Consider the following 26,006-nt stretch of genomic DNA (forward strand, 5'->3'; position numbering starts at 1 on the left):
GACTCCATCTCAAAAAAAAAAAAAAAGAGACACTCTGATTACAGTTAGGGGAGCTTTAAAGGGGAAAGGACATACACAAAATCAGGAGTGTTGAGGCTATGCCAAGACAACTGACTTGATTTGGAGCTATTAAAGGCTGGAAGGAGGCCAGGCACAATGGCTCCTGCCTGTAATCCCAGCTCTTGAGGCCAGGGGTTTGAGACCAGCCTGAGCAACATAGCACAACCCGTCTCTACAAAAAAAAAAAAAAAAAAAAAAGTTAAATTGGCCAGTATGGTGGCACATGCCTATAGTCCCAGCTACTTGGAAGGCTGAGGTGGGGGGATCACTTGAGCCCAGGAGTTGGAGGCTGCAATGAGCTATGATCACACCATTGCACTCCAGCTGAGGTGACAATGGGGAAAAAAAAAAAAGACTGGAAGGATAGTAGAGACACCCAAAAGCAAGTCAAGGAGACTTGGTGTCAGACTAGAAAACATCTGCAATGAGAAACCATCACAGAACAATTATTAAAGACAAAACTTCTTAAATAAAAGGCAGTCTGCAATAGAGCCCTGAAGACCCACACTAAGGCAGATAAGTGTCAAGTTAAAATGCTTTAAAGACAAAGACAGATTTCTACTGAATTCCAAGAAAAAAAAAAGAAAAAGAAGGGAAAAGAGGTGTGGATATGAGAGTAATTACGACCTCTGTCACCTGCTAGGCTCTGCAGGAGAGAAAGGCTTTGAAGAAAAACTTCTGCATCAATTTAGTAAAACAGAGATTATCCCTGGATCCTCCCTGAAGACAAAGGGAGCCCATCTTAATCATTGAGTGATCTGGAACAGTTTGTCAACAGAATCCCACAGCTGCAAGATTATTACAGAACAATGAAGATCTGAGAACCAAGAAAATGAAGAAAAAGAGAAAACAATGGTCTTAGTCCATTTTCTGTTGCTCATAACAGAACAACAGAAATGAGTAATTTATTTTATTTTGTGTGTGTGTTTGTTTGTTCGTTTGTTTGTTTTTGAGACAGAGTCTCACTCTGTCGCCTAGGCTGGAGTGCAGTGGCACGATCTTGGCTCACTGCAACGTCTGCCTCCCAGGTTCAAGCGATTCTCCTGCCTCAGCCTCTCGAGTAGCTGGGATTACAGGCACCTGCCACCGTGCCCGGCTAATTTTTGTATTTTTAGTAGAGATGGGATTTCGCCATGTTGGCCAGGCTGGTCTCGAACGCCTGATCTCAAGTGATCCACCCACCTCGGCCTCCCAAAGTGCTGGGATTACAGATGTGAGTCACCGCGGCCGGCCATGAGTAATTTCTTTTAAAAGTGAATCTATTTGTTACAGTTAGGGAAGCTGAGAATTCCAAGGTGGAGGGACCATATCTGGTGAGGGCCTCCTGGCTGTGGGGACTGATATGGTTTGGCTGTGTCCCCACCCAAATCTCATCTTGAACGCCCACATGTTGTGGGAGGGACCCAGTGGGAGGTAATTGAATCATAGAGGCAGGTCTTTCCCGTGCTGTTCTCGTGACAGTGAGTAAGTCTCACGAGATCTGATGGTTTTATAAACGGGAGTTTCCCCACACCGCTCTTCTCTTCTCTGCTGCCGTCTGAGGTGCGCGTTTCACCTTCCGCCGTGATTGTGAGGCCTCCCCAGCCACGTGGAACTGTGAGTCCATTAAACCTCTTTCTTTTGTAAATTGCCCCGTCTGAGGTATGTCTTTATGAGCAGCGTGAAAATGGACTGACACGCAGACTCTCTGCAGAGTCCCGAGACGGCACGGAGGATCACACGGGGAGGGGTCGAGTGTGCTAACTCAGGTCTCTCTTCCTCTTCTAATAAATCCACCCGTCCCGCTCCTGCGCTAACCCATTAATCCATTAATCTGTGAATGGATTCATCTATTCACGAGGGCACTGCCCTCCTGACCCGATCACCTCTTAAAGGCCAACTCTCAATCCTGCCACACTGGGAATTAAGTTTCAACATGAGTTTCGGAGGAGATAAACATTCAAATCATAGCCGAAATCCAAAGAGATTTGAGGAGCAGAAGTTGATTCAAAGGTTAGCAAAGGCCCATATTGATTGTTTCAGAGAATAATCAATCAGAAAGTTAAGCAACGCATCGCCAGAGCTGTGAGGAACAGACGAAGAATTTCAAAAAGGCTTTAGGATGATAAAGACGCCTGGGCAGCTTTCTAATGCTGTATGCAATGCCGTCCTGCAAACGTGTGTAAGTCAAACACACAAAAGGCAAAACAGCCACTTTCTTTTTTTTCTCTCTCTCTCTTTTTTGAGACAGGGTTTCACCCTTGTGACCCAGGCTGGAGTGCAATGGCACGATCTCAGCTCACTGCAACTTGCAACCTCCGCCTCCCGGGTTCAAGCAAGTCTCCTGTCTCAGCCTCCCGAGTAGCTGGGATTACAGGCACCCGCCACCACGCCAGGCTAATTTTTGTATTTTTAGTAGAGACGGGGTTTCACCATGTTGGCCAGGCTGGTCTCGAACTCCTGACCTCAGGTGATCCACCCACCTCGGCCTCCCAAAGTGCTGGGATTACAGGCGTGAGCCACCGCACCCAGCCAAATCAGCCACTTTCTGTCATCACCGGGGTTCTGCTCCTAGGGGGCCCAACAGCACCACAAAAGCTCCAATTAAAGGGGAAAGCCCTTTAGCGACCGTTGTAAGGACAGGTCCCACCCATTTGCACATGTTCATTTTTTTTTCCTTCCCAGTTGGATCTGCCTGCCGTCAAGACTCACCACTTCCCACCTGTACACTGCTGTCTGTCCTCATTTCAAGTGAATCACCTTGCGGTCTTCTTATGCCAGGTAATTTATGCAAATATTATTGTGAATTACTAGGGCAAATTGCAACAGGATATTCAAATCGTTGGGCAAACATGCCCTGCTGGTGGGATGCAATGACTCACACCTGTAATCCCAGCACAGGTGGGAGGCCAAGGAGGGAGGATTGCTTGAAGCCAGGAGTTCAAGACCAGCCGGGGCAACATAGCAAGCCCCGTCTCTATTTTTTAAGAAAATGTTTTCTTTTTTAATGTTCTGCTGGTCAGAAAACAAAGAGGTCTCTACCCATACTGACTAGACTAGAAAATGCCTGAAACTAGAAACCACCATTGGGCAATTATTAAAGATAAAATTTCTTAAATAAAAGACAATCCAACCCAAGACAATACAATACAATTTGAAAGACCCAACCCAGCTGGATGGGGTACCTCATGCCTGTAATTCCAGTATTGAGGTGGCCAAGGTGGGAGGATCACTTGAGTTCAAGAGTTGAAGACCAGCCTGGGCAACACAGCATGACCTTCTCTTTACTAAAAATTAAAAAAATTAGCCAGGCGTGGTGGCTGGCACCTGTAGTCCCAGCTGCTTGTAAGGCTGAGGTAGGAGGACTGCTTGAGCCTGGGAGGTCAAGGCTGCAGTGAGCTATGATCATGCCACTGCACTCCAGCCTGAATGACAATGAGACCCTGTCTCAAAATATAATAATAAATAAATAAAAAATAAAGACCCACCCCAAGATAGATAAATGTCAAGTTATAAGGCTTTAAAGAGAAGGATTTCTACTGGATTCCAGGGGAAAAAAAAAGAAGAAGAAAAATGACTTATGGATATAAGGGGAATTATGATCTCTGTCACCTACCAGGCCTCTGCAGGATAGAAAGGCTTTGGGGAAAAACTTATGCATCAATTTAGGAGAACAAGAGTTATCCCTGGGTCCTCCCTGAAGACAAAGGGAGCCCATCGTAATTGTTGGGTGATCTGAAACACCCTTGGCAGGGGGCACCAGCATACAGTAGATCAAAATGTTCTATTATTGCATGACAGATGGACATTTGGCTCCTTGCAAGAGACAGAGGTCACTAGGAATGCCACTGAGTCACATGCAAAAGTGCAGGTGCCGCAAAAGGCAAACGTAGGCAAAGGTCAGGAGGGGTGAGAAGTGGAGGGTCATAGACACAGGTCAGCCAGCTCCCTGCTCTGGTCCAGGTAGGTCACCTGCCCTATCTTCCTTGGGAGGGTCTCTGGCTGCAGATGCTCCAGCCACAGATTTGTGGCACCCCTGGTTCATGCACCTTGGTCCATGCCAGCCCCTTGACTTCTGGCAGGATTACATGTGTGGAGATTGACTCTTGCTGTCAGGGAGTCAATGAACTGTCCAGCAGGTAAGAGATAGAGAGACTGGCTCTTTCTCTCGCACCAGCTCAGGTTGACTTGGTTCTATGACAAGACAGCAAATTAGAGGTGTTTACTTCTTCACATTGGATCTGAATGAAGCCGCCAGAATTCTACTGGCCCGTAAGGCTTCTGGAGTCCCTGGGGCACTGATGGCTGTACAGCATCAACCTCAGCTTCCAATAAATATTTATCTCTAACCACGTCAGTAATGATCATCAAAACCTTCTACAGTCCTATCCAATACAATTTGAAAGACCTGTCCTGGCTGGGCGGGGTGGCTCACGCCTGTAATTCCAGTATTGAGGAAGCCAAGGTGGGAGGATCACTTGAGTTCAAGAGTTCACGACCAGCCTGGGCAACACAGCAAGACATCTTATTTACTAAAAATTTAAAAAATTAGCCCGGCATGGTGGCTCGCACCTGTAGTCCCACCTACTTGTAAGGCTGAGGTGGGAGCCAAGGCTGGGTGCCATGGCTCACGCCTATAATCCCAGCGTTTGGGAGGCCCAGACAGGTGGATCACTCGAGGTGAGGTGTTCAAGACCAGCCTGGGCAACATAGTGAGACCCTGTGTCTACCAAAAATTAGCCCAGCACAGTGGCGGGTGCCTGTAGTCCCAGTTACTTGGGAGGCTGAGGTGGGAGGATCTCTTGAGCCCAAGAGTCTGAAGCTGCATTGAGCTATGATCGTGCCCTGCACTCCAGCCTGGACAACAGAGCAAGACCCCATCTCAAAAAAAAGAAAAAGAAAAAGAAAAAGAATTTTTCTGCATCCAAAGAACCCAGATGAGTTTCTGCGAGGCAACCATCCATTCATTCAGCAAACATTTTCATGGTCCTTCCTGGGTGGTAGCTGCTTTTGTTAAATACCACTAGAGGATCTCAAAGAATCTGAGAACTGGAATGGTATAGAAAAGGTATGACTCCATCTTAAACTCCAAAGACTTTTTGGATTTTAAGTATTGATACCGTTCATTCAATTATTCATTAAATAATTATTTATTGAGTACTGTGCACTGTAGTCAAAGCCGGGTCTACTGGGTGCAAAAAAAGCAGCAAATTTCTTGCCCTCCCAGAGCTAATGAGTGAATTAATACTAATAATTACAGCTGCAAAGCTTGCAGCTACTGGGTCAGCTGTTAAACACCCTTTACCTCCGCACATCGTCACCGAGATAGGTGATTTTATTATTCCCAATTCACTGATAAAGAAACTGAAGCACAAAGAGCTTAAGTCTCTGTGACTCCCCGAAGTGTTTTTTGGTCGGTGATTAATTTTTCTAACAATTGGAAACATTTTGGAATATGATGATTTCTGATTACCCTCGTTCTTTCTTGGATGTTTCTCCGCTGGCTCTGACATTTGCTCAGGTGAGAGTTCATAGGACATAAAAGCTTAAACGTAGAAGATTGGATGATAGTCACACATTTCCTCCCGGGCTGCTGATCATAAATGAGCAATTTTTTTAAATTAAAAATCTTGCCAAGGTCACACAGCTCCTAAGTGACAGAGCCCCGCCTGGGACCCAAGCCGGTCTGATTCACATCATGTCCTCTTAACCATGACATTTTCTAAATTAATCACACAAAATCAGTTTGCCGTAGCCAGAAACCTGAGTTCATTCCAGTTAGCGAGGACAGAATCAAAGGTGCCCAGGTCATCCTGTCCACCTGGCTCCTGGATTACGCGATAATGCCGCGGGATAACATTTTTAAAATTATTAACTGACGCCTCTTTTTCCTTTTTTATTTAATTGAGGTGAAATTCACATAACAAAAAATAAATTGTTTTAAGTGTTCAATTAAATGACATTTAGGGCCAGGTGCAGTGGCTCACGCCTGTCATCCCAGCACTTTGGGAGGCTGAGGCGGGCGGATCACCTGAGGTCAGGAGTTCGAGACCAGCCTGGTCAACAGGGTGAGACCCCCGTCTCTACTAAAAATACAGAAATTAGCTGGGTGTGGTGGTGGGTGCCAGTAATCCCAGCTACTCGGGAGGCTGAGGCAGGACAATTACTTGAACCCAGGAACTGGAGATTGCAGTGAGCCGAGATCACGCCACTGGACTCCAGCCTGGGTGACAGAGTGAGACTCTGTCTCAAAAAAATAATAATAAAATACATAAATAAATGACAGTTAGCACCTTCACCATGTGGTACAGCCACCACTACTATCTAGTTTCAAAACATAACAGATGCCTCTTTCTAATTGTGTTTTTTTTTTTCTTGAGACGAGGCCTTACTCTGTCACTCAGGATGCAGTGCAGTGGCATGATCACGGCTCACTGCATCCTCGAACTCCTGGGCTGGAGGTGATCCTCCCACCTCAGCCTCCCGAGTAGCTGGGACTACAGGTGTGCACCACCATGCCTGGCTATTTTTAATTTTTTGTAGAGATGGGGTCTCACTATGTTGCCCAGACTGGTCTCAGACTCCTGGCCTCAAGTGATCCTCAGGTCTCAGCCTCCCAAAGTGCTGAGATTACAGGCGTGAGCCACTGCACCTGGCCCTATAAGAAGTATTTTAAATTAAAAACCCTTAGAAATCAACAAGCACTGGAAGAGACTTTCCCCCGACCTATGTGGCAGGCCAGGTCTCCCTGCTGGCTGAACAGGCAGGCCTCCACAACAACTGTTTCAGCACTGACTGAGTGGTTAACTTAAATGTTAAAAGCTGAGGCCAGGCACGGTGGCTCATGCCTGTAATCCCAGCACTTTGGGAGGCGAGGCAGGTGGATCACGTGAGGTCAGGAGTTTGAGACCAGCCTGGCCAACATGGTGAAACCCCGTCTCTACTAAAAATACAAAAATTTGCTAGGTGTGGTGGTGCATGCGTGTAATCCTAGCTACTCAGGAGGCTGAGGCAGGAGAATCGCTTGAACCTGGGAAATGGAGGTGGCAGTGAGCCGAGATCACACCATTGCACTCCAGTCTGGGTGAAGAGGGAAATTCTGTCTCAAACAAATAAATAAATAGGCCAGGCATAGTGGCTCATGCCTATAATCCCAGCACTTTGGGAGACCAAGGCGGGTGGATCACCTGAGGTCGGGAGTTCAAGACCAGCCTGACCAACTTGGAGAAACCCCATCTCTGCTAAAAATACAAAATTAGCCAGGTGTGGTGGCACATGCCTGTAATCCGAGCTACTCAGGAGGCTGAGGCAGGAGAATCGCCTGAACCTGGGAGGCGGAGGTTGCAGTGAGCCGAGACTGCACCACTGCACTCCAGCCTGGACAACAAAAGCCAACTGAATCTCAAAAAATAAACTAATTAATTAATTAATTAATTAATTAAAATAAAAGCTGAAAGAGCCAGTACCCTTATACAAAGGCTGGCATGTAACAAAAGCCCACCAAGAGTTTTGCCCAGGCCTTTCCTAGGCTTTGAACCATGACAAGATAACGAAGCAATTCTTAACAGGGCCTGTTTAGGATTAAACAAGTTTTACTGGGGGTCTGAAGAAACTCCCCAGGCCTCCACAGACAAGTTATTGGGGGTCTGAAGGAACCCCCCAAACCTCCGTGATTTCGCAGGAGACAAGGTAAGGGTAATCGCCCCAGCACTTGGATCCATTCAGATTAAGTCAATTTACTGAGGCTCCGGAGGAAGGTCTTCAGGACTCAGATCTTAGTTATAGATGAGAAGAAGCTCGTCACTGATGTCTTTAGGTGAATGCACACTTACACGTAGACATATAGCTTAGAAGGTATAGAAGCTCTGGAAGACGTTGTAATTTTGAGTTGCTCTGGTGATATTTTCCAGGCCTTCTCTCTGTAACTAATTGCAGAAATAAAAACTTTCTTCTTCCCCAGTTCATATGTATTTCATTACTGGCCCGTGAGAATAAGCAGCCTGACCTTCAGTGTGGTCCAGGAACACCTACATGAAGATAGGACTGACCCAAGCGTTTAGAGTCTTCTACCCAGAACCACACGGGTAACCTTTGTGTGAATTTTAAAAGGTGTCCCCTCATGGGAATGATCTATAAACTGATGGGGTTTGGGTTTACACACGTGTATACCCTTGACAAAATCAATTGATAACTCACTTAAAATGTGTGCATCTTTGGCCAGGCACGGTGGCTCACGCCTGTAATCCTAGCACTTTGGGAGGCCAAGGTGGGTGGATACTTGAGGTCAGGAGTTCAAGACCAGCCTGGCCAACATGGTGAAACCCTGTCTCTACTAAAAATACAAAAATTAGCCGGGCGTGGTGGTGTGTGCCTGTAATCCCAGCTACTAGGGAGGCTGAGGCAGGTGAATCACTTGAACCGAGGAGGCAGAGGTTGCAGTGAGCCAAGAGTGTACCACTGCACTCCAGCCTGGGCAACACAGCAAGACTCCATCTAAAAAAAAAAATTGTGCATCTTCATCATATGCAAATTTTGCATAAATAACCGTAAACAAACACTCTAGTTAATAATGATGTGCATGACGTATTTAGGAAGAAGCATACCAATGTTTGCAATTTGTTTGAAATGCACCTAGACATAAGATGGATGGGATGAAGAGATGATTAGATATGTGATAAAGTCAGCAGAGTCAAACATTCATTGTAGACTCTAGGTGCTGGGTGTATGGGTGTTCACTGTAACGTTCTTTCAGCTTTACTACTTGTTTCAAATTCTTTATAATGAAATGTTGGGGAACAAAGCACTTCTCTGGTGGACCCAGCTGTGTAGGGCATAGCTTAGCAAGTCAGGTGCTGCCTGGATTTTGGGCCCATCCATCCCTTCAGCTGGGGACCTTGTGCAGCCAGGAATGAGCCCAGCCATCCAGGGTGACCCTTCTCAGCACTTGCATGAGCTAGCTGTTCATTTCTCTTCCAAATTCTTCTTAACATTGCAGGCATTTTAGTTTCCTCCAGAAATGAATATTTCGTTTTTTGTTTTTTGTTTTTTTTTTGAGACAGAGTCTCACTCTGTCGCCCAGGCTGGAGTGCAGTGGCGCGATCTCGGCTCACTGCAAGCTCCGCCTCCTGGGTTCACACCATTCTCCTGCCCAGCCTCCCGAGTAGGTGGGACTACAGGTGCCCGCCACCACGCCCGGCTTATTTTTTTTGTATTTTTTGTAGAGACGGGGTTTCACCGTGTTAGCCAGGATGATCTGCCCGTCTCAGCCTCCCAAAGTGCTGGCATTACAGGCATGAGCCACCGCGCCTGGCCCAGAAATGAAAATTTCTAGCTCAAGGCTTTTGCTTTTCTTTTAAAAGTCTTTTCAACCTTTGCCTGTCTTCTCCAAGCTATTTCCACACCATCTTCATTACTTGATTTTTGTAAGAGGTCTTGAGAGTTGGTCTTTGTTGGTAGTTCGGAGCTTTCTTCTCCTCCTCCTTCCTTGTTTTCCTTCTTCAACATTGTCTTCACCATTCTTGGCCCCTGATATGTATGGTTTGTCTGTGTCCCCACCCAAATCTCATCTTGAATTGTAGCTCCCACAATTCCCACATGTCGTGGGAGGGACCCAGTGGGAGATGATTGAATTATGGAGACAGTTTCCCCCATAGTGTTCTCAGGGTAGTGAACAAGTCTCAGAAGATCTGATGGTTTTATAAGGGGAAACTCCTTTCTCTTGGCTCTCATTCTCTCTGTTTGCTGCCATGTGAGACATGCCTTTCACCTTCTGCCATGATTGTGAGGCCTCCCCAGCCATGTGGAACCGTGAGTCCATTAAACCTCTTTTTCTTTATAAATCACCCAGTCTCGGCTATGTCTTTATCAGCATCATGAAAACAGACTAATACAACCCATTTGCATTTCTGTATGAATTTTAGCATAATTACTTGAGGAAACTCTTTTTTTATTGAGACAGAGAGTCTTGCCCTGTTGCCCAGGCTGGAGTGCAGTGGTGCAACCGTAGCTCACTGCAGCCTCAACCTTCTGGGCTCAAACCTTCCTCCCATCTCGGCCTCCCAAGTAGCTTGGACTACAGGTGCGCACCACCATGCCCAGCTGATTTTTTTCTTTGGCATTTGAGGAAGCATCAGAGTCACATTCTGGAGGAGACCTTGATCAGAAACAATCACCTCTACAAAGTACATCAGCTCAGCTAAGCAGAGCAGCCTCTGTCCAGCAGAGCCAGGTAGGCCTGTCAACCTTTGTCTAGGGTTCAATTTTAATTTCACGTCTCCTCTCAGTTGACTTTGCTTCTCAGATTAATTTCCTTATGTTTTAAATTAATTTAGAGCTCAATTAGTTTGATTTTTAAAGGGCATGCAGTGGCTCCAAAGAGTCTCTTGGGATCAAAACAAGTGAAAGCTCAACCTAATAAAATTAAGCCGTTTATAGCAACTATCCTCACATGCTCCTTCTCCCCAAAGAAGGAAATGGAAGAGATGGGCCTTTATTAGGAAGGCCAGAAGGCCAGGGCGCTACCAGAAACAAGAGGAAAGGCATCCCAGAAGGCCGTGTCCCCTCAGTGGAGAGACTTTTATTCTGCTCATAGATTCTGTGAGCTTGGAATTAGGACCAGGCATAGTCAGGATGGCTTCTCACTGCTCCACCATGTCTGAGGCCTCAGCGGGAGGCTGGGGGTTGAGTCCTCTAGAGATGCCTTCTCTCCCTCGCCTGGTGGTTGAGGCTGTGCATGGGCTCAGACCTCAGCAGGCTGTCAGCCAGAATGCCTACATATGGCGTCTCCATGTGGTTTCTGTGTGGCTGCTTGGGCTTCCTCAGAGCATGGTGGCTGCATTCCAGGAGCAAGTGTCCCACAAGAACAAAGACCAAGTGCACCACATTGTTATGACCTAGACTCAGATGTCACATAGCGTCACTTTTGCTGTACTCTGTGGGTCAGAGCTATCATAGAGCTCTGTCCAGGTTTGAGGAAAAGAGACCTCCATGGAGGGAGGCAGGGTTCTAGAAAAACACACAGGACAGCAGACGTTGTCATGGCCATCTTGGAAAACATAATCTGCCACACCAGCTTCTACTAAAGGGTCACCTTGGCCAATCTCAACATCCCCAAAGGGACCTGTCTCTCATGCCACACCAGCTTCTACTAAAGGGCCACCTTGGCCAACCTCAGCATCCCCGAAGGGACCTGTCTCTCATCATCAGGGCCATTTCTCCACAAGCGACCGTTGGTGACTCCAGGAGGCTCAACCTCAGTCTCCCTCCTGCTCAGCCTGCTGGCTCACAGCCTGTGACGTGGAGGAGAAACCAACTTGATTACAGTAGCTGCTGAGTCTGCGGCTTGTCCATTCCAGCAGCAGAGCTTATGCTGATGAGTAAAACTGTCTAAAGACATGGCCTTCCAGCAAGTCTAAAGAGAAAACACACGCTCCTATGAGATGCATCACCCAAAGGCACTCCTCTAATTCTCATTATGACCAATGTGTTCATTGTTCAGTTTTCACCCTTTAAAAAGCACCTTCCTCATCTTCTCTCTCTTAATCCAGGTAACTATGCCCAACCCAAGACCTGCAGGTTTCTCTCTCTTGATACCTCCCAACTCCATCCATGTCTCTTCACCTCTACAGCCACGTCTGGTCCAGACTCTTTTCGTCTCTCACCTGGCCCATGGCCAGAGCCTCCTCACTGGTCTCTGCACACACATTTTGTATCCACTCCCATCCTCTCACTCTCCTGCATACAACTATCCATGGCTTCCAAGGGTTTTTTGGGTTTTGGTGTGTGTGTGTGTGTATTTTAGAGACAGGGTCTCACTCTGTCACCCAGGCTGGAGTGCAGTGGTGTGATCATAGCTCACTGCAGCCTCAAACTCCTGAGCTCTGGCAATCCTCCCACCTCAGCCTCTTGAGTAGCTGGGACTACAGGTGCATACCACCATGCCCAGCTAATTTTTTATTTTTTGCACAGATGAGGTCTCACTACGTTGCCCAGGCTGGTCTTGAACTCCTGGCCTCAAGCAATCCTCCCTTCTCAGCCTCCCCAAGTGCTAGGATTATGCATGAGCCACTGCATCTAGCCAATGGTTTCCAGTTTTCTTAAGACAAAGTCCCAAATGCTAACCATGGCTCCCAGCCCTGCCTGCTCTGAGCACTGCCAAGATCTCAGGCTTTACCTCCTGCCACCTTCCCCTTAATGCCAGGCTCTGGCCCCTGCCACTTTCATCTTCTCTGAGCTCCTCGGTCCCACTCCCCACTTTGATATGCTCGGTAGCCACATGTGGCTAGTGGTCGCCATAGTGAATGGTCCCGCTCTCTTCTCTTCTTCATGCCCAGAGCAGCAGCAGCTCTGTACCAGGGCCACACTCTATTCCTCTTGCCCTCTTGCAGTTGCTTTTCATCAATTTCTATTTTTCTGTTTGTTCTTGTGATGCAAAAACACATAATATGAGATGGACTCTCGATAAGTTTTTAAGCGTACAGTGCACTTTTCTTAACTGTAAGCACAGTGTTGTGCCCGAGATCTCTAGAACTTTTTCCTCTTGCGCGACTGAAACCGACACCCATTGCATAGCAAATCCCCATTTCTCTCCCTCCACCAGTGCCTGGCAACCACCATTCTGCTTAGATTAGCCAGGCTCTCTATGAGTTTGACTACTTTAGATACTTCATACAAAAGAAATAATGCAGCATTTGCCCTTCTGTGACTGGCTTATTTCATTTAGCCTAATGTCAGCCTGATGTCCTCGAGGTTTATCCATGTCATCCTTCCTTATGGCAGGATAATACTCCACAGTATGTATGTTTTATATATCTACACACACATATAAAAATAATGGATGGGTGAATGTATATACTTACATATAAATATATGTTATTTTTATGTATAATGTATTTTAATATCTAAATATGTATATAATCTATAAAAACTGATACATATAATGGATAAATAGATAAATAAAACATACATGTTATATATAAATATATAAATAAAATGTGATTTTTATATATTATAATTTATAAATAAAATGTTTTATATATTATATATGTTATATATATTACATATATGTAACATTTTATACATCTATTCATCCATCAGTGAACATTTAGATTGCTTCCACCTCTTGGCTATTATGAATAATGTTGCAATAGATACGGGACCGCAAACATCTCTTCAAGGTTCTGATTTCAATTATTTTGGGTATATACCCCGAGGTGGAGTTGCTGGATCCTACAATTGTTGTATTTTTAATTTTTTCAAGAGCCTCCATTCTGTTCTCCATGGTGATTCTGCCATTTCACCTTCTGATCAACGGCGTACAAGGGTCCCCATTTCTCCACATTCTTGCCAACACTCTTATTTTCAACACGTATTTTCTGGGTTTGTTGTCACTGTTACTGGTTTGTTTTATCATGATCATCTTAACAGGTATGAAGTGATACCTCATTCTGGTTTTGATTTGCCTTTCCCTAATGAATAGTGATATTGAGTATCTTCTCACACACCTGTTGGCCATCTGTATGTCTTCTATGTCTATTCAACATCTATTCATTGAAATGTCTATTCAATTCCTTTGCCCATTTGTTAAGCAAGTTCTGGGGGTTGTTGCTGTTGAGTTATAGGATTTCCTTATATATTTTAGATACTAACCCCTTATCACACATTCTTTTTTTATCTCTTCATTTTCAGCCTACGTGTGTTTTTAAATCTAAAGTGGGTCTTTTGGGCCAGGCGCGGTGGCTCACGTCTGTAATCCCAGCACTTTGGGAAGCCGAGGCAGGCAGATCACCTGAGTTCAGGAGTTTGAGAACACCCTGGCCAACATGGTGAAACCCGTCTCTACTAAGAATAAAAAATTAGCTGGGCATGGTGGCGCATGCCTGTAGTCCCAGCTACTCAGAAGGCCGAGACAGGAGAATCGCTTGAACCCAGGAGGTGGAGGTTGCAGTGAGCCGAGATTGCGCCACTGCACTCCAGCCTGGGCAACAGAATGAGACTCTATCTTAAAAAAATAAATAAAGTGGGCCTTTTCTAGGCAACATACAGTTGGGTGTTGTTTTTTGGATTCATTCAGCCACTCTATGTTTTTTGACAGAGGAGTTTAATCTACTTGCATCTAAAGTAATTATTGATATGGTTGGATGTATGCTACGGTTTGAATGTGTCCACGAAAGTTCTTGTGCGGAAACTTGTTCCCCAGTGCAGAAGTATCAGGAGGTGAGATCTTTAAGATGTGCTGGATTCATGCTGTTATCGCAAGAGTGAGTTCATTATTACGGGAGTGGATTCCTCATAAAAGCACGAGTTCAGCCCCCTTTTTCCCCTCTCCTCCCACCTCTCTCTAACTCTTTTTCTCTCCCCATCCCACCCCTCACTTTGCCCCCCAACCATGGGATGACACAACAAGGTTCTCACCAGATGCTGGCACCTTGATCTTGGACTTCCCAGCCTCCAAAACGGCAACAAACAAATGTCTATTGTTTATAAATTACTCTGTCTCAGATATTCTATGATAGCAGCAAAAATGGACTAAGGCAACTTAGTATTGCTATTTCATTCATTTTTTTCTGTCTTGCAGCTTTTGTGTCTCTTTTCTTGCTGTCTCTTTGTGTTTTGCTGATTTTTTGTGGTGGCCTGCTTTAATTCCTTTCTCATTTTTCTTTTATGCATTTTCTCTAGGTATTTTCTTTATGGTCAGCATGAGGCCTACATAAAACATGTTATAGTTGGCCAGGCACGGTGGCTCACGCCTGTAATCCCAGCAATTTGGGAGGCTGAAGCAGGCAGATCACCCGAGGTCAGGAGTTCAACACCAGTCTAGCCAACATGGTGAAACCCTGTCTCTACTAAAAATACAAAACTTAGCCAGGCACTATGGCGGGGGCCTGTAATCCCAGCTACTCAGGGGGCTGAGGCAGGAGAATCACTGGAACCTGGGAGGTGGAGGCTGCAGTGAGCCAAGCTCACACCACTGCACTCTTAGCCTGGGTGACAGAGTGAGACTCCATCTCAAAAAAAAAAGAAAGAAAAAGAAAAAAAAAGTTATAATTATAACAATTCATTTTAAGCTGATAACAACTTAACTTCAGTCACATACAAAAACTCTACACTTCTACTTCTCCCCTCCCCAATTTATGTTGCCGATGTCACAAATTACATCTTTTTATATTGTGTATCCATTAGCATTTTTATAGTCATAGTTATTTTTATACCTTTGTCTTTTAACTTCTATACCAGAATTAATGGTGATGTACGTACCACCATTACAGCATACATTATTCTGTATTTGTCTATATATTTTACTTCCCAGCAAACTTTATACTTTTATATGCTTTAATGTTGTGTTTAATGTCCTTCCATCTTTCAGTACTGTCCACCTCTCCAGCTTGGCCTCAGACGCCCTCCCCATTCATCACACCAAACTGACCTAGTTATAATTCCCACAGTGCACTCAGCTTTCTCTGTCCTCTGAACCTTTCCATGGGCTAGTCCTCCTCCCCGGAATACCCTTTCCCCTCCCCTTTGTCAGGCTAACTCTTTCAGGACTCTGCTCAGTCATCGCCTCTCTGAAGAGGCACCCCCTGCTCTCTGGGCTGGACGAGGAGACCGTCTTCTCTGTGCCCAGCCCCTGGTCCCCTCTCCCCTAGCAGTGAACACACGGCATCATCATCTGCTGTTCTACCCCATCTCCGTCACCAGCATGGGAGCTCCCTGAGGGCAAGGCTTGTGTTTTAATTGTCTCTACACCCCTGCACTTAACGCAGTGCCTGGCATGCAGTAGGTGCTCAATGCATGCTTTTTTTTTTTTTTTTTTTTGAGACGGAATCTTACTCTGTCACCCAGGCTGGAGTGCAGTGGTGCAATCTCCACTCACTGCAACCTTTGGCTCCCAGGTTCAAGTGATTCTCCTTCCTCAGCCTCCCGAGTAGCTGGGATTACAGGCGCCCACCACCACGCCCGGCTAATTTTTGTATTTTTGGTAGAGGTGGGGTTTCGCCATGTTGGTCAAGCTGGTCTCCAACTCCTGATCTCAGGTGATCCACCCGCCTCGGCCTCCCAAAGTGCTGGGATTACAGGCGTGAGCCACCACGCCCAGCTAATGCATGCTTGTAATAAATAAATAAATGCACAGAATACTAACTTTCCAAGAGAGCTTACTCTCTGGTCGAGGAGTATGTGATGGGTTGGGAAGAGGAAACTTGTATGCACTGAGTGCCTACTTTTTGCTAAGTGCTTTGTTAACTAGTTTACAGGCACGGAAAGCACAGAGAGGTTAAGTAACTTGCCCAAGGTCACAGAGGTAGGATGTAGAGCAAGATGCCAACCTCTCCCTCACTCTCATATTCAGCCATTTGCCATATCCAAACCCTGTCATTTTTTATCTCCAAGATAGGCCCTGCACCTCTCCATGGCTAACTATCTCCAAGGCCACCATGGTAACCGAGGGCACCATCCTCTCGCTCCTGGGAAAGTGTAGCAGCTTCCGTTCTGACTTCCTTGCAACCTGCTCTTTACAGAGCAGCCAAGGGACCTCCTAGAATACAAATCCAACATTGTCACTCCAACTGTGTCAATGGCTCCTATTAGGATAAAGCCCACCTCCTTACTAAGAATCACAGGTCTAGCATGGTCTGACCATGCCACCCTCCCCAGGTTAATTCACATCACTCTTCTCCTCCTCCCCGCCTCATTCTTGCCTCAGTTTCTCTAGCCTGCCAGCTCAAGCCAGGCCCAGGGCATTTGCACTTGCAGTTCTGTCTCTAGAATGATCTTCCACAGAACCCCATGTGGCTCACTCCCTAATATCACCCAGGGCTTTGCTCAAACATCACCTCCTCAGGTGACATTTCAGGTGACCGCTCTGCAACAGTTCCCCTGGGGTCACTCTCTAAACCTGCACCATTCTATGGTTCACAGAAGTAGGGATGAGCCTGGCCTGGCACACACAGCACCTGACGCCCATCCCAGGTCTCCTGTCTCTTGCAGCTTCTGGCTACTTGTGGGAAACCTGTTACCTAACTAAGGTGTGGCGGCAGCAGCAACCGAGGCACAGAGCAGAGTGTGCTCAAGAACTGACCCCTGGGCCCCACAGTGTCTCACACCCCTAATCCCAACACTTGGGGAGCCTGAGGCAGGAGGATTTCTTGAGCCCAGGAGCTTGAAATCAGCCAGGGCAACATAGCAAGAACCTGTCTCTACAGAAAAACATATTTAAAACTTAGCTGGGCATGGTCATGGTATCTATAGTCCCAGCTCCTTGGGATGCCAAGGTGAGAGGATCCCTTGAGACTGGGAGGTCGAGGCTGGAGGAAGCCATGATGAAGCCACTACACTGTAGCCTGAGCAACGGAGTGAGATCCTGTTTCAAGAAGAGACAAGACAGAAAGAGAGAAAGAAAAGAGAAAGCAAGAGAGAGAGAAAGAGAAGAGAAGAGGAGAGAGAGAGGGAGGGAGGGAAAGAAGAAGAATAGGGAGGAGGAGGAGAGAAGGAAGGAAGGAAGGAAAGAAGGAAAAAAAAAAAAAACTCACCCTCCCCAGCCCAGCCTGCCAAGTGCTGTGGCTATAGTAGTCAGGGGCCTGTGTGTGGCCCAGTGCCCAGCCTGGGCTGGAACAGCAACTGTCCCATGCTGTGGGGAAGTTTGCCTAGATAAGAAAGCCCAGTGTCTGCCTTCCAGGCAGTTCACAGGCTTATTCACAGGGAAGATAATGAGTAAATAAACGGCCACATCAGGACATGGTTGCAGATGCCAAAGATGTGTGAGCCCAGTGGAGGAACTGGAGCCAGCTGGAGGCCATGGCAGCTTGTCTGGAGGTCAGCACAGCTGAGTCCTGAAGACCAGTGGGCTTAGCCAAGCTAAGCAAAGTCAGACAGGTTGTGTCCTGGGCCAAGAGGAGGGCATGGGGAAAGTGTAGATGCCCACCATGGCATGTCTGGGACACCAAGTGGTTCTGTGTGCCTGAAAGAACATTGGGGGAGGGGGATTAGAATGGGGTGAAACTGAGGAAGAGGAGGGAGAACGAGTTTGGACCTCTTCCAAACTCCTCCTGGTGAGGAAACACTGGGAGTTTCTGAACTGAAGAGTGGCCAGATCCCAGCCCTCCCCAGCTCACCAGGGCCTCCAGAAGGAGGGACTCTCCTCCAACTTTCACAGTCCTTCAGGGCCCAGCCTAGACCCTCTCCCTCTTACCTGCCATTTCCCATCCACAGGGGCCACTCCTTCACTCCAAGTTCTTTCTGCTCAATGGGAATAACTTTGGCCTTCATTACAGACTTGACCCAGTGCTGAAAAGTGCTCTGCAACTATTCACAATTGCAAAGTCATGGAATCAACCCAGGTGCCCATCAACAGTGGATTGGATAAATAAAAGCTGGCACATATACACCATGGAATACTATGCAGCCATAAAAAAGAACAAAATCATGTCCCTTGCAGCAACATGGATGCAGCTGGAGAGCATTATGCTAAATGAATAAACCCAGAAACAGAAAACCAAATACCTCATGTTCTCACTTATAAGTGGGAGCTAAACATTGGGTAAACATGGGCACAAAGATGAAAATAACAAACACTAGGGACTCCAAAAGCAGGGAGGGAGGAGAGGGACAAGGGCTGGAAAACTACCTATTAAGTACTACGTTCACTATTTGGGCGATGGTTTTGATAAAAGGTCGAGCCTCAGCATTACTAATATATCCGTGTAACAAACCTGCACATGTACCCCCTGAATCTAAAATTTTTTTAAGCGCTCTGCAAACCTCAGGCAACTAGAGAGCGTGAGGCTTGTCATGGCTGCTTCTATTACATGCTGGTAATTCCCCTTGTTAGCTTCTACTGGGAACAAGATTGTCTGCACATTCCTGACTTATTCCTGCCTAAGAGCAGGATACTGAAAGGTGGAGAAGGTGGAGGACAGAAAAGAGAAAGGGGGTGTATTAGGAATCACCAGAGAAACAGAACCGACAGGCTGCACACACACACACACACACACACACACAGATTCATTTTGAGGAATTGGCTCATGTGATTGTGGGAGTTGACAAATACGAAATCCACAGGGCAGGCCAGCAGGTTTGAGTCCTCGGGAAGAGTTGATGCTGCAGCTCAAGTTCAAAGTCCAGAAACTTAGGCAGAATTTCTATGCTGCAGTCTGAAGGCAGAATTCCTTCTTCCTTGAGGGAATAGCCACAGGAAACTAATACAGCATTGGACTGCAGGCAGAGAGGGAATATTCTAGAAAGTAGATCCTCAGTGGTCATCAAAAGGTTCAACACTAGGTGATGCAACTATAGAAACGCCAAGAAGGGGCAAGGTAGGGTCCCCATCTTGGAGAAACTCAGAGCTCAAGCAGGTTCTGTGGCTTTGAGCAGGGGTTCACAGCACAGGAACACCTACTCCTGAAGGGGGTGAAGTATGTCCAAAGAGACCCTGTTAAAAGGCTCTGTTGATCCCAGGCCCTGAGCAGGTGACCTCTAGTTCATTGCAGTCAGGAATTGGACTTCTGTTTATCATTTTGTCTCACGGGCATAGTAGCCATGCCTGGCACACAGTAGGTGCTCAGTAAATATTTGTTAAATGAATAAGTTTATCTGCCCCTCTTCTGCAAATTGAAGATGGAATTGACCCCGGGAGAGTTATCCTCAGCTTAGAGACTCTCCTCATGGGTCAGACTCCCACCTCCAGCTAAGAAACTTTTTTGACTCTTATGATGTCACCTAGATGGCTTCAAATCAACCATGGTGGGAATGTTTACACCATGGGAATTAGCAAATGCTACAAATCAGGCTATTTCCCCAACAAGCCAGTTGTTGAGCACTTTCCAGGATACCACTGTAGGACTGTCACTGCCTACATCCCCCAGCCTAAGGATTGCTTTCATAGTAACTGCCATGAGATGCAGAAGGATGTTCAGCAAGAAATATGGGGAAAGCAAGTTGTCTATCATCTTTGGCATTGGTCTTTTGTCCTGAGCCCTGGTAATATATTTTAGGTTTTTTACAAAGAGTTTTAACAGCTCAAGATACTGAAGGCAGCCACCAAGCCTGGGGCTGACACAGCCTCCTCAAGCCACCAAACTTTAGGCAGTCATAATTTCCCCATCAGGTGGAAAGCAAACATTCCACCTATGAACTCATTAAAGAGGGAGATTACAGCATTTCCCAAAGTGTGAACTGGGGAACCTTGCCTCAGTGTCATCTGGAACACTGCTTAAAATGAGGATTAGTGCTTGAGCTCAGGAGTTCAAGGCCACAGTGAGCTATGGTCACACCACTGCACTTCAGTCTCGGTGGCGGAGCAAGACACTGTCTCAAGAATAAATAAAATGCAGATTAGACCTGCAGAAACCCAGTCTCCAAGCCAGCTGAACCACCACATGCACACTCCCCCGGCTTGAGAACCAGCTTAATGAGCCCACCCCCAGCAAAGCTGCACCAGTTTGCCGCAAACTGCCACCACCTAGGCCATTGAGGCACTTGCAAACATCACTAAGTGGATTCCAACTGAAGAAACTGCCCAGAGACTACACTACTGTGTCCACCAGGAACCACGGCCAACATACCCTACACAACTGACTCTCTACAGGACCCATCTACAAGAATAAGTCTTCCCCTATGGAAGCTACTCCATAAAATTGAAAGAGGCAAGTGTTTCACCAGATATGCAGATATCAATACAGGGACATAGAAACATGAAAAAGCAAGCTATATAACACCTCTTAAGGAGCATGATAATTCTCTCTAACAGACACCAGAGAAAAGAAAGTGTATGAAATGCCAGAAAAGGAATTCAAAATAATGATCTTAAGGAAACTGTGAGATACAAGAGAATGTAGATAGACAATTCAACAGACTTAGGAAAACAATTAGTTATCTAAATGAGAAATTCAACAAAGAGATACATGTCATAAAAAAGAACCGAACAGAAACCTGGAGCTACAGAATTCAATGAATGAAATAAAAAATACAAGAGAGATCTTCAACAACAGACTAGATTAAGCAGAAAAAAGAATTTCTGAACTTTAAGATAGGTCTTTTGGGAAAAAAAAAAAAGCAGAACAAAAAGAATTCAAAAAATAAAGAAAGCCTACAGAACTTAAAGGACACCATAAAGTGAACAAATATTTGCATTATGGGAGTTCAGAAGAAGAGATGAGAAAAGACATCTGATATTTAATAAAATAGGGGAAAACTTTCCAAGTCTTGGGAGAGATGTAAACATCCAGAAGCTCAAAGGTTCCCAAATAGATTTAACCCTAAAGGATCCTTTTTAAGGAACATTATAGTCAAATTGTCAAAAAGTTGGAAACAATGAGTTGAGGAACCTCAGGAGAAATGTCAGGAACCAAAAATCTTGCAGAATGTAGTGTCAGCTGCAGGCAAGAAAAGAGAGGTCTTCCACCCAAATGTCAGCTCTGGTTCACAGGCACCTTGGGAGATGTTTTGTGAAATGAAGGAACATATCCACACTTCTAGATCTCCTGCCCTTTCATCACAACCTCTGTAGCAGGGAGGGGAGTTCTCCTGCAGGACATCCTAATGAAGTGGTTATAAAACGCATGGCCAGAAGAGCCTGTACTAAAGTCAGCATTCACTGGAGAAACAGGACTGATCAGATATATGTAGAGAAAGAGATTTATTATAAGGAATTGGCTCATGTGATTATGGAAGCCAATAAGTCCCAATATTTACATGATGAGTCAATAAGCTGGAGATTCTGGAGAGCTGATGTTGGGGTTTCAGTTTGGGTCTGAAGGTCTGGGAACCAGGACAACTGATGATGTAATTTCTGTCTGAATGCTGGCAGACTCAAAACCCTTGAAGAGCTGATATTTCAAGTCCAAGGACAGGGGGAAAGCCCTATCCCAGCTCAAAGGCAGTCAGGCAGGAAGAAATTCCTCTTACTCAGGGAAAAGTCAGCTTTTTTTGTTCTATCTCGGCCTTTGACGGATTAGATGAGGCCCACCCACATTAGGGAGCACAATCTGCTTTACTTAGTCCGCATAGTCAAATGTTAATCTCATCCACAAACACACTCACAGACACACCTAGCCTGGGCACCCCATGGCCCAGTCAATGTGACACATGAAATTGACTATTGCAGAGCCCACAGTACCATTGGAATAGCCCCACTGAGAAATTCTAACTGCTTGCATTACTTGTGTAGCCCTCCACAGTGTGCAAAGCACTTTGCATGTGCTTTATGTCATATCCAGGTCTTAGTTTCCCCACAGCACTCTGCCCATATTTTCTGTTTTTTTTTTTTTTACTTTAAGTTCCGGGAAACATGAGTAGAATGTGCAGGTTTGTTACATACGTGTACCATGATGGTTTGTTGCACCTATCAACCTGTCACCGAGGTCTTAAGCCTGGCATAGATTTGCTCTTTGTCCTGATGCTCTCCCTCCCCTCACCACCCCCCAACAGGCCCCCGGTGTGTGATGTTCCCCTCCCTGTGTCCATGTGTTCTCATTGTTCAACTCCCACTTATGAGTGAGAACATGCAGTGTTTGGTTTTCTGTTCCTATGTTAGTTTCCTGAGGATAATGGGTTCCAGCTTCATCCATGTCCCTGCAAAGGACATGATCTCCTTCCCTTTTGTGGCTACATAGTATTCCATGATGTATATATACCACGTTTTCTTTATCCGTCTATCATTGATGGGCATTTAGGTTGGTTCCATGTCTTTGCTATTGTGAATAGTGCTGCAATAAACATACATGTGAATGTATCTTTATAATAGGATGATTTATATTCCTTTGGGTATATACTTAGTAAGGGGATTGCTGGGTCAAATGGTATTTCTGGTTCTAGATCCTTGAGGAATTGCCACACTCTCTTACACAATGGTTGAACTAATTTACGTTCCCACCAACAATGTGAAAGCATTCCTATTTCACCACAGCCTCGCCAGCATCTGTTGTTTCTTGACTTTTCAATAATCCCCATTCTGAGTGGTGTGAGATGGTATCTCATTGTGGTTTTGAGTTGCATTTCTCTAATGATCAGTGATGTTGAGCTTTTTGTCACATGTTTGTTGGCCACATAAATGTCTTCTTTTGAGAAGTGTCTGTTCATCCTGTCCTTTGCTCACTTTTAGATGGAGTTGTTTGTTTGTTTTTTTTCATGTAAATTTGTTTAAGTTCCTTGTAAATTCTGGATACTAGACCTTTGTCAGATGAGTAGATTGCAAAAATTTTCTCCAATTCTGTAGGTTGCCTGTTCACTCTGATAATAGTTTATTTCGCTGTGAAGAAACTCTTTAGTTTAATTAGATCCTATTTGTCAATTTTAGCTTCTGTTGCAATTGCTTTTGGCAATTTCATCATAAAATCTTTGCCCATGCCTATGTCCTGAATGGTATTGCCTAGGTTTTCGTCTAAAGTTCTTATGGTTTTGGGTTTTACATTTAAGTCTTTAATCCATCTTGAGTTAATTTTTGTATAAGGTGTAAGGAAGAGGGTCCAGTTTCAGTTTTCTGCATGTGGTTAGCCAGTTTTCCTGGCACCATTTGTTAAATAGAAAATCCTTCCCCCATTGCTTGTTTTTGTCAGGTTTGTCAAAGATCAGTTGGTTGTAGATGTGTGGTCTTACTTCTGAGGTCTCTGTTCTGTTCCATTGGTCTATACATCTAATTTGGTACCAGTACCATGCTGTTTTGGTTACTGTAGCCTTGTAGTATAGTTTGAAGTCAGGTATCATGATGCCTCCAGCTTTGTTCTTTTTGCTTAGGATTGTCTTGGCTATGTGGGCTCTTTTTTGGCTCTATATGAATTTTAAAGTAGTTTTTTCTAATTCTGTGAAAAATGTTAATGGTAGTTTGGTGGGAATAGCATTCAATCTATAAATTACTTTGGGAAGTATAGCCATTTTCACAATATTGGTTCTTCCTATCCATGAGGATGGAATGTTTTTCCATTTCTTTGTGTCCTTTCTTATTTCCTTGAGCAGTGGTTTGTAGTTCTCCTTGAAGAGGTCCTTCACATCCCTTGTTAGCTGTATTCCTAGGTATTTTATTCTTTCTGTAGCAATTGTGAATGGGAGTTCAATCATGATTTGGCTCTCTGCTTGTCTATTGTTGGTGTATAGGAATGCTTGTGATTTTTACACATTGATTTTGTATTCTGAGACTTTCCTGAAGTTGCTTATCAGGTTAAGGAGTTTCTGGGGCTGAGACAATGGAGCTTTCTAAGTATAGGATCATGTCATCTGCAAACAGAGACAATTTGGCTTCCTCTCTTCCTATTTGAATATGCTTCATTTCTTTCTCTTGCCTGATTGCCCTGGCCAGAACTTCCAGTGCTATGTTGAATAGGAGTGGTGAGAGAGGGCATCCTTGTCTTGTGCCGGTTTTCAAAGGGAATGCTTCCAGCTTTTGCCCATTCAGTATGATATTGGCTGTGGGTTTGTCATAAATAGCTCTTATTATTTTGAGATATGTCCCATCAGTACCTAGTTTGTTGAGGGTTTTTAACATGAAGTGATGCTGAATTTTATGGAAGGCCTTTTCTGTATCTATTGAGATAATCATGTGCTTTTTGTCATTGGTTCTGTTTATGTGATGGATTACGTTTATTGATTTGCATATGTTGAACCAGCCTTGCATCCCAGGAATGAAGCCAACTTGATCGTGGTGGATAAGCTTTTTGATGTGCTGCTGGATTCGGTTTGCCAGTATTCTACTGAGGATTTTCGCATCGATGTTCATCAGGAATATTGGCCTGAAGTTTTCTTTTTTCGTTATGTCTCTGCCCAGGTTTTGGCATCAGGATGATGTTGGCCTCATAAAATGAGCACTCTGCCCACATTTTCTTTCTTTCTCTCTTTTGTGCAGTTGGCGGGCCACCATGCACACACCCGCTGTCTGGCATCTTCTTCTGTTTCCTTTAACAACACAGCTTGGCAGGTGTCCTCTGACCAGCCACATAAAACTACCTCCTTTGTTAAAGAAATTGGTCTATGGGACATTTTGAATCCCTCTGAGCCAGGTGGAAATACGGCCTCTGGGCACGACTGGAGCGGTAAGGGAGTATTACAATTATTTATACCATGTTCTCCTTTCCCCTGATATTATAATAATAACTGACACTTAATGCCTGCTCATCCCAGCTGGTTTGCATATGTTACCTCCAATGTTTACAAGATCCCTGCAAGGGAAGGAACGTCATTTGCATTTTACTGAAGAAGAAACTGAAGTTCAGAGGGCTGAATCATTGGCTATGAGCCTCAGGTCTGTCCAACATCCGTCCTCTCTCAACTGTTTCCTCCCTAACGTGGGGATCAGAACCAATCGCAGTGCCTGCCACGTTGCCAGCCCCTCTGGGGAGAAATTGCCCTCTCTGAAGCCCCCGCTGAAGCGAGCCCTCTACAGACCAAAGGACCCAGCCACTCTGGCACCCGCTGACCCACCAGGGGGCCACCCAAGCCACAGCGCATGAAACAGACTCTTAGTCTCCAGAGCTTGAGTGTGAAATAATGGAGAAATTGTCCACATAAAATCAGGGTGGGATCAGAAGCCAGGAGGTGGAGTTGGAGCCTCAATAAGCACAGTTGGGAAGAAGCAGAAGCCGCAAAGAAGTTGAGCTGCTAAATAGAAAAAAAGATCAGCTGAGTGGAGGTGAGAATAAATCTGGAGCAGAGGCATAGAGCGTGTGTAACGAACCAGGAAGCTGCCCTGGCGGTTGGGATGTGGCCAGGCCAGGATTTGGAGCCTGCGGAGCTTCCACGGAGCCACTGCATGGCCTCACCCTTTTTTCTTTGAAACAGGGCCTCACTCTGTCCCCAAGGCTGGAGTGCAGTGGTGCAATCATAGTTCACTGCAGTCTCAAACTCCTGGGCTCAAACAATCCTGCCATCTCAGCCTCCCAAGGAGCTGGGACCACAGGTGTGTGAAAAAAATTTAGCTAATTTTTTCCTATTTTGTAGTGATGGGGTCTCACTCTCTTGCCCAGGTTGGTCTCAAGCTCCTGGCCTCA

General features: G+C 45.4%; 1 long non-coding RNA gene across 1 annotated transcript in view; it reads left to right on the forward strand.

Moving 5' to 3' along the window:
- The first annotated feature begins 1,577 nt into the window (after positions 1–1,577).
- LOC105375133 (uncharacterized) overlaps positions 1,578–26,006 on the forward strand; it is a 35,973-nt gene continuing 11,544 nt past the window's right edge. Inside the window, exons 1-2 of the long non-coding RNA XR_926999.3 lie at positions 1,578–1,656; positions 2,725–2,820. This is a non-coding gene — a long non-coding RNA (uncharacterized LOC105375133). The remainder of the gene's footprint in view (positions 1,657–2,724; positions 2,821–26,006) is intronic.

Source organism: Homo sapiens, chromosome 7 (assembly GCF_000001405.40).
Source record: "Homo sapiens chromosome 7, GRCh38.p14 Primary Assembly".
Taxonomy (NCBI): Eukaryota; Metazoa; Chordata; class Mammalia; order Primates; family Hominidae; genus Homo; species Homo sapiens.